The sequence below is a fragment of the Homo sapiens genome, chromosome 13 (assembly GCF_000001405.40).
Source record: "Homo sapiens chromosome 13, GRCh38.p14 Primary Assembly".
Taxonomy (NCBI): Eukaryota; Metazoa; Chordata; class Mammalia; order Primates; family Hominidae; genus Homo; species Homo sapiens.
The window spans coordinates 105,571,301-105,588,054 of NC_000013.11; the positions used below are offsets into that span (position 1 = coordinate 105,571,301).

Here is a 16,754-nt window from a genome sequence, read left to right on the forward strand (position 1 = left end):
TCGACCAAACATCGAATTCATTCTTGGGGCATTTATAAGAATTCTTCCTTATTTTTGGCTTGAATTTCCTTATATCCCTGCTTTGAATCTTTAATATAAGCTGGCTTCTTCATGCTCCCTCCTTATTTTACTTTCCCTTTACACTTTTTGTGACAAGATCTTTGATATATTTAACTGCATAAGCTTGCTTGTTCAATCAAATGGGTTTTTGCTTGTAGAGATTTTCTATGTCCAAGGAAATTCTAACTGATTCAAGATTGGCTTCTTCTCTTCCTTAACTTCTATTTCTTGCCTCTGCAAAACTATGAGGTAGTTACAACATAACTTTACATTGGCCTTAAAGTGATATACTCAGGCTAATCTAGTTAGATTACTCGGCCAGGTAGCTCATGCATTTGGGACTCAACATTCAGGCTACAGATTGATTGTGCAACAGAAAAATCGAGAGTGGGTTAATAGAAAGGGTTCAACAACACACTAGCAGAAGGAATGAGGGGTAGAGTCTAGACATATAAGCAGAAAGTCAAATTAGGCAGATCACCCCAATATGGAAAGAGAAAGGTGCCATGGAAATTTTTGGTTCTGCCACAGACCAGCTTTGAGCATTTGTTCAGTCATTATTGTGAACTTCAATTTCTTCAATGACACACAAGGCAATGGATTAGGAGTATATAAAGTATAATTGTTTCCAAATATAAGCTATTATAAATATTGACATCTTGCAGTATACCCAGTATTTTAATTATGAAAGTTAAAATTATATAAACAACATATATGTGGTAGTATTTTCTCTTACCTTTATTATAAATTGATCAATATAAAAATAATGGCTAAATAGATTATAGCCTCAAAGACAGTAAATGATAATTTCCTTTCCCTAGAAATTGAAATAGTCCAGTATAAAATTTGCTTTTGTTAAAAGCTTAAAATTTAGGAATATAAAATATATTTACTGTCATGTGGAGGATGTAATAGCATCCTGATTCATTACTTGAGCTTTGTCCAAAGACTTTTATGTCTTCAAATATACTCTGTGATATTTTACTTTCTCTGGTTATGTATAAAGCTAATCAAGAAGCGAATATAATAGCTGCTACTTTAGGATAAACTAAAGATAGGAAAATAATTATATTTTATATAGAATGTATCAGCTATCCTTTAAATGCCTATAGTGGTATCAAAACTAACACATGCTAATTTAGCTAGGTATCAGCAATAGGCTGGCAATTAGTAAGGGTGCTTTGAAGCAATCACTGAAGCTACAACATAAATCTGTGGCAGACAGCACAAACTACATTCTTATGTTGTTAATCACTCTTCTTAATTTTCAGTGCCAGAAAGAATGGTCCTTTTCAGGCTATCTATTGCTGCATAACTAATCACCCTGAGAACTCGGTGGTTTAAAAATTACAATAATTGCATTAACTTTCAGGGTTTATAGGGGACCAGAACTAGGAAAGAGCTTGGCTTGGTGTTTCCAGTTCAGAGTCTTTCCTTGTGATTGCATTTAAACTACAATAAATTTAATTAAAGTTTAATTCTTAAAAATTAAAGTTTAAAATGTCCCCTGAACCACAAAATAATTTTGGCATAATGATGGCCAATTGACTCTTTCACATATGAATTCTATCATTGCCCCTCTATTTTCACCACATTTTACCTAAGAGATACCTGTCTAAAATAACTGGTGGTACCTAATTGATGTTTTCCTAATATATATTATAAGTGCTCTAATATATAAAGTTGCATTGTGTTCTGAATATGTTAGCAAACAACATTAAGTATCAAAATAAAATGTAGGGAATTGCTTTCCTTTTTTTTTCAGAATGTGCAGGCAAGCAAGAAAGACACAGAATAACATTGAGAGAAATAGAGATCATTGTGCAAGGAGAAGCCTATGAATAAAAATTAGCTGGAAAGTCAGTCATTATGTCAGAACAAACATCTTCTAAGAAGAAAATTCTGATTGATTTCCACATAATCACTCTGATTGTGGAGTCAGCCTGAGCCACACATGAGCCAGCTCTTCCACTGCTGTTGACTGCGCCTGCAAACAACCAAGAAAACATAAATCAGGGAGAGGAAATGACTAAAGTATGGATTTAAATGTTCCTATTTTTACAAGGCTGTAGGCTCCACATTTTTGTTGACTATTTTAATGATACCAGCAACAATTTGGGGCAGCCATCCTGGTAATGTCTCTTAACCTTTTCTGTCATTTATGGGAAGCAGTTTGCAGGTACTTCATGATCAGAGAAAGAACTTGACCAATTTATTCTTTAGTATTTAGTTCAAAAGAGAGCTATAAAAACTGTTTTTTTTTCTAGTTTAAAGGGATGCTATTTTGAGAAAAAAATATTCTCAATAAAATTTGCTACTAAGGTAGACAAAATATATACAAAATTTAAACACATATAATAACATATACAAAAGTTACACAGCTCAATTAAACAATCTCAATATGGAGAAAGGCAAAAGATGCTTCTCAAAGATAAGTAACCATAAACTCACTGACCAGCTAAGTTGGTCCATATTTTATCCGCTCATTTATTCACCTAACATTGACATTTACTGAGCACCTCTATGTGCTCAATACAGTAGTACATGGAACACTTAACATAACTTTAAAGACATATATGTATATATATATACACACACACACACACACACACACATATATACTTTAATAATAATTTTAAAATGTAACTCAACCTTGTTATTAAAGTGAGGCAACTTAATTTTATATCTTGGTGATATGGTTTGGCCATGTCCCCACCCAAATCTCATCTTGAATTGTAGTTCCAATAATCCCCACGTGTCAAGGGAGAAACCCGGTAGCAGGTAATTAAATCATGGGGGTGGTTCCTCAGGCTGTTCTTATGATAGTGAGTGAGTCCTCGCGAGATCTGATGGTTTTGTAAGGGGCTTTTCTCTCTTTATTCAGTATTTCTCCTTCTTGCTGCCATGTGAACAAGGACGTGTTTGCTTCCCCATCTGCCATGAATGTAAGCTTCCTGAGACATTCCCAGCCTCAGGACTGTGATTCAATTAAACCTCTTTCCTTTATAAATTACCCAGTTTGGGGTGCGTCTTTATTAGCAGTGTGAGAACAAACTGATGCAGTAAATTAGTACCAAGGGAGTGGGGCTATAAGGATACCCAAAAATATGGAAACCACTTTGGAACTGGGTAACAAGAACAGGTTGGAACAATTCGGAGGGCTCAGAAGAAGACAAGAAAACTTGGAAAAGTTTGGAACTTTCTAGAGACTTGGAGGGCTCAGAAGATAGGAAGATGTGGGAAAATTTGGAACTTCCTAGAAACTTGTTGAATGGCTTTGACCAAAATGCTGATAGTGATATGGACAGTGAAGTGGTCATCTCAGATGAAGATGAGGAACTTGTTGGGAACTGGAGCAAAGGTGACTCTTGCTATGCTTCAGCAAGGAGACTGGCAGCTTTTTGCCCCTGACCTAGAGATCTGTGGAACTTTGAACCTGAGAGAGATGATTTAGGGTATCTGGCAGAATAAATTTCTAAGCAACAAGGCATTCAAGAGTAATCAGAGCATAAAAGTTTAAAAAATTGCAGCCTGAAGACGCAATAAAAAAGAAAAACCCATTTTCTGGAGAGAAATTCAAGCACACTGCAGGAATTTGCATAAGTAACAAGAAGCCAAATGTGAATCACCAAGAAAATGGGGAAAATGTCTCCAGGACATGTCAGAGACCTTCATGGCAGCCGCTCCCATCACAAGCCTGAAGGCCTAAAATGAAAAAATGCCTTATTGAACCAAAACCAGGGCCCCCTTGCTCTGTGCAGCTTCAAGACATGGTGCCCTGAGTCCCAACTGGCTCAATGCCAGCTGTGACTAAACGGGGCCAAGGTACAGCTCAGTCTGTTGCTTCAGACAGTGCAAGCCCCAAGCCTTGGCAGCTTCCACGTGGTGTTGGGCCAGTGGATGCACAGAAGACAAGATTGGAGGTTTCGGAACCTCTGCCTAGGTTTCAGAGGATGTATGGAAATGCTGGGATATCCAGGGAGAAGTTTGCTACAGGCATGGAGCCCTCATGAAGAACTCTGCTAGGGCAGTGTGGAAAGGAAATGTGGGGTCAGAGCCCCCACACAGAGTCCCCACTGGGGCACTGCCTATTGAAGCTTTGAGAAGAGGGCCACCCTCCTTCAGATCCCAGAATGGTAGATCCACCAAACAGCTTGCACCGTGCATCTGGAAAGGCTGCAGGAACTCAATGCCAGCCTATGAAAGCAGCGGGGAGGGGGACTGTACCCTGCAAAGCCACAGGGGTGGAGCTGCCCAAGGCTGTGGGAGCCCACCTCTTGCACCAATATGACCTGGACGTGAAACGTGGAGTCAAAGATCATTTTGGAACTTTAAGGTTTAATGACTGCCCTATTGGATTTTGGACTGGCATGGGGCCTGTGGCCTCTCTGTTTTTGCCAATTTCTCCCAATTGATATGGATGTATTTACCCATTGCCTGTACCCTCATTGTATCTAGTAAGTAACTAACTCGCTTTTGATTTTACAGGCCCATAGCTGAAAGGGTATTGCCTTGTCTCAGATGAGACTTTGGACTTGGACTTTGTAGTTAATGCTGGAATGAGTTAAGACTTTGAGGGACTGATGGGAGGGCATGATTGCGTTTTGAAATGTGAGGACACGAGACTTGAAAGAGGGCAGGGATGAAATGATATAGTTTGGCGTGTCCACACCCACATCTCATCTTGAGTGTAATTCCTATTATCCCCATGTGTTGTGGGAGGGACCCGGTGGGAAGTAATTGAATCATGGGGCTGGTTACCCTCATGCTGCTGTTTTCATGATAGCAAATGAGTTCTCATAAGATCTGATGGTATTACAAGGGGCTTTCCCCTCTTTGCTCAGCACTTCTCCTTCCTGTTGCCATGTGAAGAACGACGTGTTTGTTTCCCCTTCCACCATGATGTAAGTTTCCTGAGGCCTCCCAAGCCACGCTGAACTGTGAGTCAATTAAACCTCTTTTCTTTATAAATTACCCAGTCTCAGGTAAGTCTTTATTAGCAGAGTGAGAATGGACTAATATACCTGGTAAAGGCTGATTTTAAGAAATTCAAGCTAATATAAAAAAACTGTATATATGTGACATGTTTCACTAACTTCTTTGTTAACAATAATGCAAATATCTAAAAGGTTTCACATATTTGCTCAGAATGCTAAAAATCATAGTGTATTATATAAAAATATAAGTGTTTTGACCATTGTGCATAAGTATTCAATAAACATTTTGAAATCTATATACTTTTATAATTTGAAAATAACCTTTGTCTAAGTTAGTTCAATTTTCATTTTATCTTGTAAAAATTTTAAAGATATAAGAAAAAGATATATTATGGATGAAATAATAACTTAAAAAAATCAGGTACTATAAGCAATTATTTCTGCACTATGGCAAATATTCAAATCTGCTCTCACATACTTTACACAATGGCCATTTCTGAATCCAAACCTAAAATAATCCTTCTTAGGTCTCCTTTCTCTGTGCAGGAAAATAAAGTCATTGGCCTTTAGATGTTGTGTATCTCAAAACAGATGATATTTTAGGATATCTAAAAGACAGTTTTATGGTAGGTAATTCCCTAATTCCAAACTGAAGCCAACTCATTATTTTTCAAAACCCTTCCCCATCACTGTCAAAACAAGAACAAAGGTTTTATTACTCTCAGTTGTTCATTTTCTTTTAAAACTAACTGGGACTTTCATATTAAAAAAATTGTTGTTTTAAACTTACTCATACACATTGTACACATTTATTGTGTGTGTAAGCATAATGACCTTTTGTTTGCCATTTGTAACAATAAACAGACACTTAAAAAAATTCTCTAACTTCATTGTAGGACCACGTCTTGGACTCTTCTGGCTGCTATAACCAAGTATCATAAATTGCACAGCTTCATTAAAAACAGAAATTTATTTCTTATAGTTCTGGAGGCTAAAAGGTTTGCGATCAAGGCACCAGGAAATTTGGAGTCTGGTGTGGATCCTTACCTAGGTTCACAGAAAAGCATGTCATATTTCACCTACATCTTCCCATGTTGGAAGGAGAAAGGGGTTTTCCTTGGGCTTCTTTTGTAAGTGCAGTAATCCCATTCATGAGGGCTCCACCATAATCACCTTCTAAAAGCCCCACCACTTAATACTATCACTTTGGAAAATCAAATTTTTATACATATTTTGAGGGGACATGAACATTCAGACCACAGCATTCTGTCCCTAGCCCTCAAAATTCATGTCTTTCTCACAAGCAAGGACATTCGTTCCATCCCAGTAGCCCCAAAAGTCTTAACTTGGTCCAACATCAACTCAATAGTTCAAAGTCCAAAATCTCATCTAAATATCATCTAAGTTAGGTATGAATGAGACTCAAGGTAAGATTCATTTTGAGGCAAATTGTTCCCTAGCTGTGAACCTATGAAATCAAACAAGTTATGTGCTTCCAAAATACAATGATGGGACAGGCACAGAACATGCATCCCCATTCTAAAACATAGAAACAGGAAAGAGGAAAGGGGAAAGAGGCCCTAAGTCCACAGCCCAACAGAGAAAACATTATAGCATAAGTCTCAATAACAATCTTCTTCGGTTTGATGCTCTGCCCTTCCAACCCACTTTGGGGAAAAGTCCCTTCTGAGCACCCTGGGTGGTACTCCCTTAGCTTTGCCCCCCAGAGTTTGGACCTCCAAGGCTCTGGGAACCCCTGGCTACATGACTTTGCCAGATGCAACTTACAATGCAGCTCTCATGGATTGGAGATGTGTGCCTGTGGATCTTCCAGCCAAGAATTTTATGCCCGTGGCTCTCCAGGTCTGAGGTCTCAGGGGCAGCCCTACTCTTGTGGCTCTGCTGGGCATTGGCCTATTAGAAGTTCACTGTGGTGGCTCTGCCCCCCTAACAATTCCCTGCCAGAGTTCACCAGAACTGAATCTGGGGCTACCAAGGTGCATGGTAACAGAGTAAGGGAGGTAGATCCACAATGTGAAGCAGCACGGGGTCGTGGTGGTCCCTTCTTTAAATTGGAAACCACCCTGCTGCCCCGACTTTTGCATTTTGGGTCTGCGATAGGGGTGGCAGTTCTGATAGTTTTTGAATTGCTTTTAGGATTATCCTTCCATGGTCTGGGACAACAGGTTCTAGATTCTGTTAAATGACTGAGTAATTCTGTTAGATTGTCCTTTGGTCACACCCTTGGTCTTCTCTTGCAAAGATACTTCCTCATTTTTTACAATATGGATAGACTAAGAATTTTCCAGATATTTAAGTTTTGCTTTCCTTTTGATTAACAATTCCATCCTCTAATAATTTTTCTCTTCTCCCATTTTACTAGGAGCAGCAAAGAGGAAGGAGGCTACTCTTTCAAAGTGTTGTTTAGAAAGTGCTGCAGCCAAATATACAATTTCATCACTCACAAGTTCTACCTTCCCCAAAATATCAGGACAGGAACACAACTCAGCCAAGTTATGTGACACTTCATAACAAAGATAGACTTTTCTCCATTTTCCAATCCCATTCTCCCCAGTAGGATCTGGGAACACATCAGAATGGTCTTCACCACCCATATTTCTACCAATAGCTATTAATGATGACTTAGGTGGTATCTAAGCTTGAGGCTTTCCCTACTCTCCTTTTTTACTTTCTGAGTCCTTTCCAGAATTGCCAATCAAGACCCATAATTAAATGGACTAGAACAAAACATTTATTATTTTAAAATATCAACTCTGAACTAATCCAAACATTTGTTTATGTTATTCATACATAACATAAAATATATTTATTTTTTATTGAGTTAAATATATTCTAAAGTTCTAAACATTTTTGTTAATACTGTAAAATGTTCAAAATTGACTTCCTTGGGTCATATTATTAAAATCTCTGCTTTCTACTCACATTCTCACTCTGATAAGAACATTAATATTATACAATTGCAAAACTATATATTTTACCCCCTCTGACAGGCCACCTTGGGGCCTCTTGGGGTTTGCTTGCCTTCTGTCAGAGCGAGAAAGCTTTGCCGGCAAGAAGCAATGGAACTGAGGCTGGAGTGGGGCATGAATGAAAGCCAGCCCTCTGCTTCCTTGTGAAATCAAAAAACTGTGGTTTTCCCCTTTTTTTTTGCACTTATACAGCATTGCCCTTTGTTAACAATCTTTCTCCTGATTTTCCTTTGTTTAATCATTGCTTATTTCCCATCAACACCAACTTACATAAACTTGGAATTGGTGTTCCACCACTGGGAAATATTTACTAAACTCATGGCTAATGATGGTCTCTTATTTTTCTTTTTAATCTTACAGCACTCACTGAAACAACTCTCTATAAAGATACTTTCAGCTAATTCCTAGAGATGAAGAATCTGAGTATCAGAAAATTTAAGTGACTTGTCCAATGTCATGCAAAATATTTAAATATTTGCATTTGATCTATAACCCATTTAAACATTATGAGGTACATAAAAGTATACTGTAAATGATAAATTATCATGCAGTTGTATAACCAAAGTGTCAACTGGAGCTTCATTCCTTCTCTGGAAACTCAAATGTGCTTGGTTCACACACTCAATTTTAAAGTCTTTGAAGTACAGAGCTTCCTGTAATTTCTGCTAATTACCAGCACTTTCCCTCTAATGACGTATTCTGCATCAGGCTCCTGCTTCAACATGTGCTGTTCTGAAACAGCCAGTGTTGACTCAAATTCAGAATCACATTAGATTATCCCCCAAAATGTCATTCACCCAAAAGCAATAGGGAACCTCGCAAATTTTACTGAAAAGGTTACAAAAGCAGAGTGGTTTTAACCCCAAAGTTCACAACATAGAATTGCTATGAGACAGTCCAGTTCTCCTAAAAGTAGTTTCTAAGTTGCCCCATTACCAATTGGTAACTATTCAGCAACTGGGTCTCCTGGGGAAAAAACACCCTTATTTGTAGAGTCTGCCAATTAATGTGGTGTAAATATTCCACTGTAGTCATTTTCAAACTATCAATGACATCACTGAACTCAGAGCTGGAATTGAGAAAACAAGTGAGTAACTGGATCTTGCAAGCCATTGTGGACTAACTCCAGCACATTGCAGCCCATTACCAGAGAACTTTCTCAGTGAGCTTCTTCAATGCATGTCCCAGCCTCTCTTACTTCACTGGTCTTGCCCTGAATCATCACTACTAGCCTCATCCCTGGAGAACTTTAAAGTATTTCTTCCCTTGAATATGAAGCCTCTTAGCTTTTTTACACTCTATGACAGGTCTAAAACCTGTCCAACAAGTTCTTTGATTCACCTCCCTCACATGGGTAGAGACTCAATCAATCTTAGTAACTCTCTTGTGATCAGTAAACTGCAGCAGAAATGTCTCATTGTAACTTCCAAAACTAGTTATAAATAAGCCACACATTTCTGCCTTAGACTCTCTTGGGACATTCTTTCAGGTATATGCCAGCCACTGGAAGAAATTCTAAAATCCTGAAACTGCTGTGCTACAAAGACACATGGAGGTGATCCACTTGTCATCCCCGGCTGAGTTCCCAGCCAACAGCCACCATTCACCACCAGCCACATGAAGAAGCCATAGGATGGCCAGTTTAAATAGACTCCACATAATTGCAGCACTAGCCAACATCTGCCAGACACACAGGAAAACTTCCAATTCTGCCCTGCCTAGCCCTTTCCAATTTCCTTCCTCAACAATTATAAGCAAAAGAAAATGTGTTTTTTTCTTTAAGCTACTAAGTTTGACCTTCTTTCTAACTTACCCAAACTCATAAGAAAATGAGGTTGGGGTTATTGAGAGCAAGTATTTCTCTTGGTAATATCATATCCCTTCTTGAGAAAATGCAGAATAAAGAACAAGTTTAAAATGTGGTGAAGAAAAGTCAGCTGTAAAAAAGATCAAGTTTCTAATTTTGAAACTGGTATGATTTCACAGGGCAGCCTTAAATACCTTCTTTGACAAACCTAGATATGCTCCCTATTTCCCACCCCAGGTTTCTGCTCAACCAAATCCTTTACCCTATCTAAATGTTTCCCAGGAGTAAGGAAGAGGATACAAATGATAGGATGAATTCTACTGCAATTGCTTAGGCAGAGATATGACAGGGAATGAATGGGGATGATAATACACAATTACTTTTTTTTTTTTTTTGTGGCTGGAGAATCCTAGACCAGATAATGCAAGAAGGCTCTTCCAGCTTGAGAATTCACTGACTCACTTTCTTCTTCATAGATTTTCTGGTACTAAGTTTTTCAACCTTTGCTTTCCTGAATTCTATCTGAAGTTTTTATAAAGTTTTGAATTGACATTGCTTTCCATCTTCATTCACAAAGATATTTCCTTTTGTTCTAACTGTAGAACTAATCCCAGTCTGTAAAACACCCAGACTAATGGAGACGAAAATTCTCTTGTGTTGCTTAAGGAGAACTGAGTTGCACATAGAATGCCATCCACAAGGGGCAAGAATACCAGCATGACTACCCACAATCTTTCATCTAATATGGCATACATTTAAACTGGAATCAGGCCAGGTCCTACTGTTACCACTTTAACCAGGGACCATAAACCAGTGTGTGAAGAGTGAGGAGTCACATATTTGTGTGGTAACACTGTGCCTGCAGGATGCTTGTGATAAGTGGCAGAAGCTTCATTACCATAAAATGACAATGAGAAATTAATTCTAATTATCCTGATCATTGAACATTTAAACGAAAATGAAGACACTAAAGGTAACTAATTGCTAGGAAGGCCATTGCTGAAGATGAATTATGAAAGATTTTAAACAAAGACGTTGTAAAACAATGGGTTCCAACTGCCCAAATCTTGTCAGTTTGTTTATTTGTACTGATCACATGGAATTTACACACCAGAAAATTGGGAATGATTTGGTTGTTAAAAGAATGTGAAAAAGGTTCTGTGGAGAAGTGCACCCTCATTTATGTTTCTGAAAATAAGAAGTCACAGTTAATTATTTCTAAACTAGTAACTTTATCAATTTTCAGACCCAAATATAAATTAGAAACAAAGAATATGAAGAATGGGAGAGTTACATAGGAAACTTACTTCTGAATAATTGTCAGCTTCATGAATGTAATTTCACTGAACAGTTAAATAGAGCAGTTCTGGAAATATCATCATTTAAAAAGATGGCAATGGAAAAAGAAGAAATGATAATCTAATTAAATGACTCTGTAATTAGTAAACAAGTTAGGAAAATATAATTTTACTGACCAGAAAACCTAAATTTGGTAATCTTTTCATACTCTAGAAGAGTAATGCTCTTATTTGCATTTCCCCAACCTGTTCTTCAGAAGTAACTCAAGAATTACATTTTCATCTTCAAGAAAATGAAAGAAGGCTTGACCAAGCAAAAGTTGTGTTATTCAACAGCTAAGCAGTAAGATAAAAAGGTGAACTTTTGGAAATTTGGTATGCATCAGTTCAAACGTATTTCCTACCTGAATCCAAACAGCTTTCACATTGTAAAGATTCAGGCTCATGCAGAAACTTGTTTGTGAAATAAATTAAAACAAAATAAAACAAAACAAAAGCAGCTGCTCTTTATTGGGATATATCTCAGCACATTGCATTGCTGAATTTAGGTTGAGCAAAAAGTCAAATATTGGAACTGTTAATAAGCATTATGTTTATTTGAAATTACCTGTGAGCTAAGTTGATTAGGGATCCCTTGCTTTGAATTTAACGAATTATTTATTTCTTTTAAACTGACAAGAAATAGCTGCATTTTCACTAAGGTCTATGTCAAATTCTTGAGTTCAAATGCTTTTTATACATAAACTTTATGTTTTTGATACCACCCTCGCTAGGATTCTTGCATTACTTCCTGGTTACTTGTAAAACCGAGACTCATCTAGTTATATTATTTGAAGTTAATAAACCACTGAAGGACCTTCAAATATTGTTTATGATTCACTAACAGTGATTCCCTCTTTCCAAGTCACTGCATTTTGCACTGGCCGATTCAAATATCCACACTCCTTACCGTTAGTTGAAACAAATGAAAACAACATGTGTAAAAAAGCTATGGAACATCAGCAATACAATGTATTTCAACCACGAGTATGAAGGAAGGGGCCATTTCTATCTTGTCTACTATTGCATTTGGAGTATATTAGTTATAGTCTAAAATCATATACAAAATTATCAATAATTGCTTCTTAATAAATGAAGTCTCAGTTCATTGTCCCAGTGTTGTTTATTTCTTATGTTACTCTTTCATTTATTCATTTAATTCTTTACTTAGACACTCAATCAGGCAACAAACATATATCTCTTGAGTGGGCATGGCCAGTCAATTACAAAAGAAATTTATTACATTTGAAGAGCTGCATTATCAGGGATCATCAATACAATGCTCAGTCAAGTACGAATAGAATATCTTAGCCTACAGAAGTGAAGTGAACCAAGATTCCAGTTAGAACCTGATCTGCCGGAGCAGAATATCCAACTGAGTCCAACGTGGGGCATTTTCATCATTTTAACAATATCATACCTATCTGCAAATGGGCTAAATAGTGATATGAGACAGATCTACACAAGATTTAGTTAACTCCACTTTCAGGCAGGGTCAGCAAAGAAGTTCAAGAGAAGTTGGTGCCTGGGACAAAGGCATAAACATGAGTCTGTGCTCCTGATTTAGAGTGTAAGGTCTTCAGTTGAATCCAGCCTTTGTAGGCAATATTTATTCATGTGATTGCATTTTTATGTGGTTTTTCCTGTTCCACATCTTCACCACCTGGAAAAACTAAGAAAAGGCAGAGTCTTGCTCATGATGACTTAAAAGCCTGGGTGCAGAGAAAACAGATTTTTCTGGGATCTCCTTGACTCTACTACTATAGCTGGAGGAGTTGGGCCTAACCCAGGGATAAGTGGAAGAGTTAGCGCACACTTCTATTGCATGCCGGGCTCTATGGTAGGCACTGAAGATGCGGCATTAAAGACATCCCTGCTTTGGCCGGATGCAGCGGCTCACGCCTGTAATCCCAGCACTTTGGGAGGCCGAGGTGGGCAGATCACCTGAGGTCAGGAGGTCGTGAGGCCAGCATGTCCAGCATGGTGAAAGGTCATCTCTACTAAAAATACAAAAATTAGCCAGACATGGTGGCGGGCACCTGTAATCCCAGCTACTCGGGAGGCTGAAGTGGGAGAATCGCTTGAACCTGGGAGGTGGAGGTTGCAGTGAGCTGAGATCACGCCACTGCACTCCAGCCTGGGCGACAGAGCAAGACTCTTTCTCAAAAAACAATAAAATAAAATGAACAAATAAATAAATAAATAAAGACACCCCTGCTTAGGGAGGCTGAGGCGGGCGGATCAGAAGGTCAGAAGATCGAGGCCATCCTGGCTAACAAGGTGAAACCCCGTCTCTACTAAAAATACAAAAAATTAGCCAGGCGTGGTGGTGGTCGCCTGTAGTCCCAGCTTCTCGGGAGGTTGAGGCAGGAGAATGGCGTGAACCCCGGAGGCGGAGCTTGCAGTGAGCCGAGATCGCGCCACTGCACTCCAGCCTGGGTGACAGAGCGAGACTCCGTCTCAAAAAAAAGAAAAAAAAGACTGCATAGACTTTGAGCTAAGCTAAATGAAAGGAAAAGGAAAAAGATTCCAGGGAAGAAGTTTTGAAGTGAAGGTTGATTGACTTAAGTAAACTCCAGAGTAACTGACATAGAAAAAGAGGCTAATAGAAATTGTAGGACTAAGGAAGAAATTTGATCGCAACTTCTGACAGGCTCTGAAGGTGCCTGTCCTTAAAAGAACAATACTTTTAAGTGTTTAGGCATTAGCTATAGAAGAAAATATCCCAAATCTAGGTGGAGAATTCAAAGAAGAATGGCTACTAAGTGGTGAAACATATATTTGAACCTAGGTTTTCAAGCAACATTCTCTATTCTGTCTTTATAAGCAAAGCTGCAGTCTCTGGAGTCAGACAAGCTTGTTTCTAAGCTCCTGCTTCTCCTCTCACTGGCTATGTGGGTTTGTCAATATTACTTAAAATTTTTTGGTATATGTTTCCTCAGCTCTAAGAAGACACAATTATAATTACTTACACAACTGCTATGATAAATGTCTGCCTAGTCTAAATAATTTAACATAAGATCTAGTCTATACTAAGTGCTCCAAAAATGTGCTCCTGTCTTAATTTTTATGAAGTGGCATTGACAATTGGCTGGAAGCTAACGGAACTAGAAGTATCCATAGATTTAATTAAATATTATCTATAATAGGCTTTGATGTTTTGTTAGCCCCAGGATCAATCTTCTTATGGCAACAGGAAATTCACATATGGCTTGAGGGAACGCACCATCTCCTCTGCATAGGTCAAGCTGACTACATCTCCAGCCCCGGGAGATGGAGACAGGTGTGAACAGAAGGACTCTAAGAGGACATCATTTTCACAGACTTGGAGACATGTAGCTGAGTTCAAAGCCCATACTGCTTGCCACACAACAGCAAATAAGTCAAGAGACAAGATGTTGCAGCAAGGAAGCTGACTTTATTTTGGAGGACAAGCAAACTGAGAAGATGGAAGATTAGTGTCCTAAAGAACCATCCTAATAGAATTTTAGGAACATTTAAGTTTGGGGAAGAGGAAAGAGGGAAGGAGTTGAAATCACGAGGCAACCAATGACCACATATATCTGGGCAGCAATGAGGGTCCAATGGAGTGGACTGTGAAGTTCTTCATCCTTGGTCAGGTCACAATGCTCTTATAATCTTTAACCTAATGTTCTTAATTATGTGTACGCCCTTCTTGTTTCCTCCGTGGTTAGTTTTGGGAAGGAATTATTACAAACCTTGCTTTAAAGTGAAACTATAAACTAAATTCCACCCGTAGCCAGCTTGGCCTACATGCAGAGATAAGCAAAAGCCGTTAACCTAAAGGTGGGCTTAGGAGCAAAATGGGGCCAGTCATGCCGGGCCTCCTTTTCACTGCTTCAATGATGGAGCTTCAAAATCAGCACTTTCCAAGTCTTTGGGCATCATGATTGGTTCTAAGGTGGGCTCTTTCACAAGTTAGTCTAACTCGGGGCTTTTGTGACCCCATTCTGGGGTTTCAGTTATGTCCATCAGGAAGTGTCACCCTCTTTCTGAGTAGGAACTGGAGCTTAAGTATAGAGCTTACATAGATGAAGCTTAATCAATACATATAATATGAGTTAAATTAGACTCTGATTATGATCTTTGAGGCCTTAGATAAGCCACTCTTGAGGATCTACTCCTGAACTGTTACTCATACATGCCAATAAAGTATCTTTTTATGCTTAAGGAAGATTGAGTTGGGCTTTCTCTCACATGTCACAGAAAACATCCTAACTCACTCATGGACGGCACACTCTGTAATTACTATTGGTCTTAATAAATCAAGCTTCATCCGGGTTGGAAACCATCATTCTCAGCAAACTAACACAGGAACAGAAAACCAAACACCACATGTTCTCACTCACAGGTGGGAGTTGAACAATGAGAACACAAGGACACAGGGAGGGGAACATCACACACTGGGGCCTGTCGGGGGGTGGGGGACTAGGGCAAGGATAGCATTAGGAGAAATACTTAATGTAGATGACAGGATGTTGGGTGCAGCAAACCACCACGGCACGTGTATACCTATGTAACAAACCTGCATATTCTGCACACGTATCCCAGAAATTAAAGTATAATAATAATAATAATAATAAAAGAAATCACATTATCTTTCTCTCATCTTATTCTTCATTGAATATGGTCCCAAAGTGGGCTGTGTACCCTAACCCACATTTGTTATTGCCCCCTTGCTGATTTCTCTGATTTGTTTTTCTTTTAAGTGGAATAATAGATTAAAATCATGCAGTAATAAATGAAATAGATTTATAGTGACATTTTAAACGGAATTACCATTATAATTGTCTTTAAGAAAAAGAATTCTAGGGCCGGGCGTGGTGGCTCACACCTGTAATCCTAGCACTTTGGGAGGCCAAGACGATGGATCACCTGAGGTCAGGAGTTCGAGACCAACTTGAACGACAGGGTGAAACCCCATCCCTACTAAAAATACAAAAACTGGCCGGGCATGGTGACTGGCGCCTGTAATCGCAGATTCCCAGGAGGGTGAGGCAGGAGAATCACTTGAACCAGGGAGGCTGAGTTTGCAGTGAGCCTAGGTTGCACCATTGCACTCCAGTCTGGACCACAAAGTAAGACTGTTTCAAAACAAAACAAAACAAACAAACAACAACAACAAAAAAAAAAAAACGAAAAAGAATTCTAGGCTTTGGGTTATAGCCCCTTGCTATTTTAGGAACACAAATGGCCATTTATACATATGTATTATTTTCCTTGTTGCCTAAAAACTGTGTCCAAAGGCTAGAAAGCGCTGGGACATTAACTTTAGTGAGTAAATATCTGCTTCTTGTTGGCGAAGGACCTTGGGGCTTTAGTGGCAGGTAGTATGTAAATGTGAAATTGGTCTGGAATGAAAAGAGCTTAGAGCTCTCTCAAAGAGCAAAGCTATTAACCTGAGGGTTCTCATCGAATTCTAGCTCGGGCAGGCTTGCCATGCAGATTTAAACCAGTGCCTTCTCTTCTGAAAGCAGCATGACTCAGGTGAGCAGATTGCATGTCGTGTTCCGGTGCTGCACTGCTAGTTGACATTTACTGTGCTCCGACATGACTAAGGCAGAAGTAATGCATTCATCAACATGCTGTATAGAACAGAGGT

At 38.8% G+C, this 16,754-nt stretch overlaps 1 long non-coding RNA gene across 1 annotated transcript in view; it reads right to left on the reverse strand.

The window, feature by feature from the left end:
* Positions 1 to 775: 775 nt before the first annotated feature.
* LOC105370345 (uncharacterized) overlaps positions 776 to 16,754 on the reverse strand; it is a 134,781-nt gene continuing 118,802 nt past the window's right edge. The window contains exon 7 of the long non-coding RNA XR_931698.2: positions 776 to 2,047. This is a non-coding gene — a long non-coding RNA (uncharacterized LOC105370345). The remainder of the gene's footprint in view (positions 2,048 to 16,754) is intronic.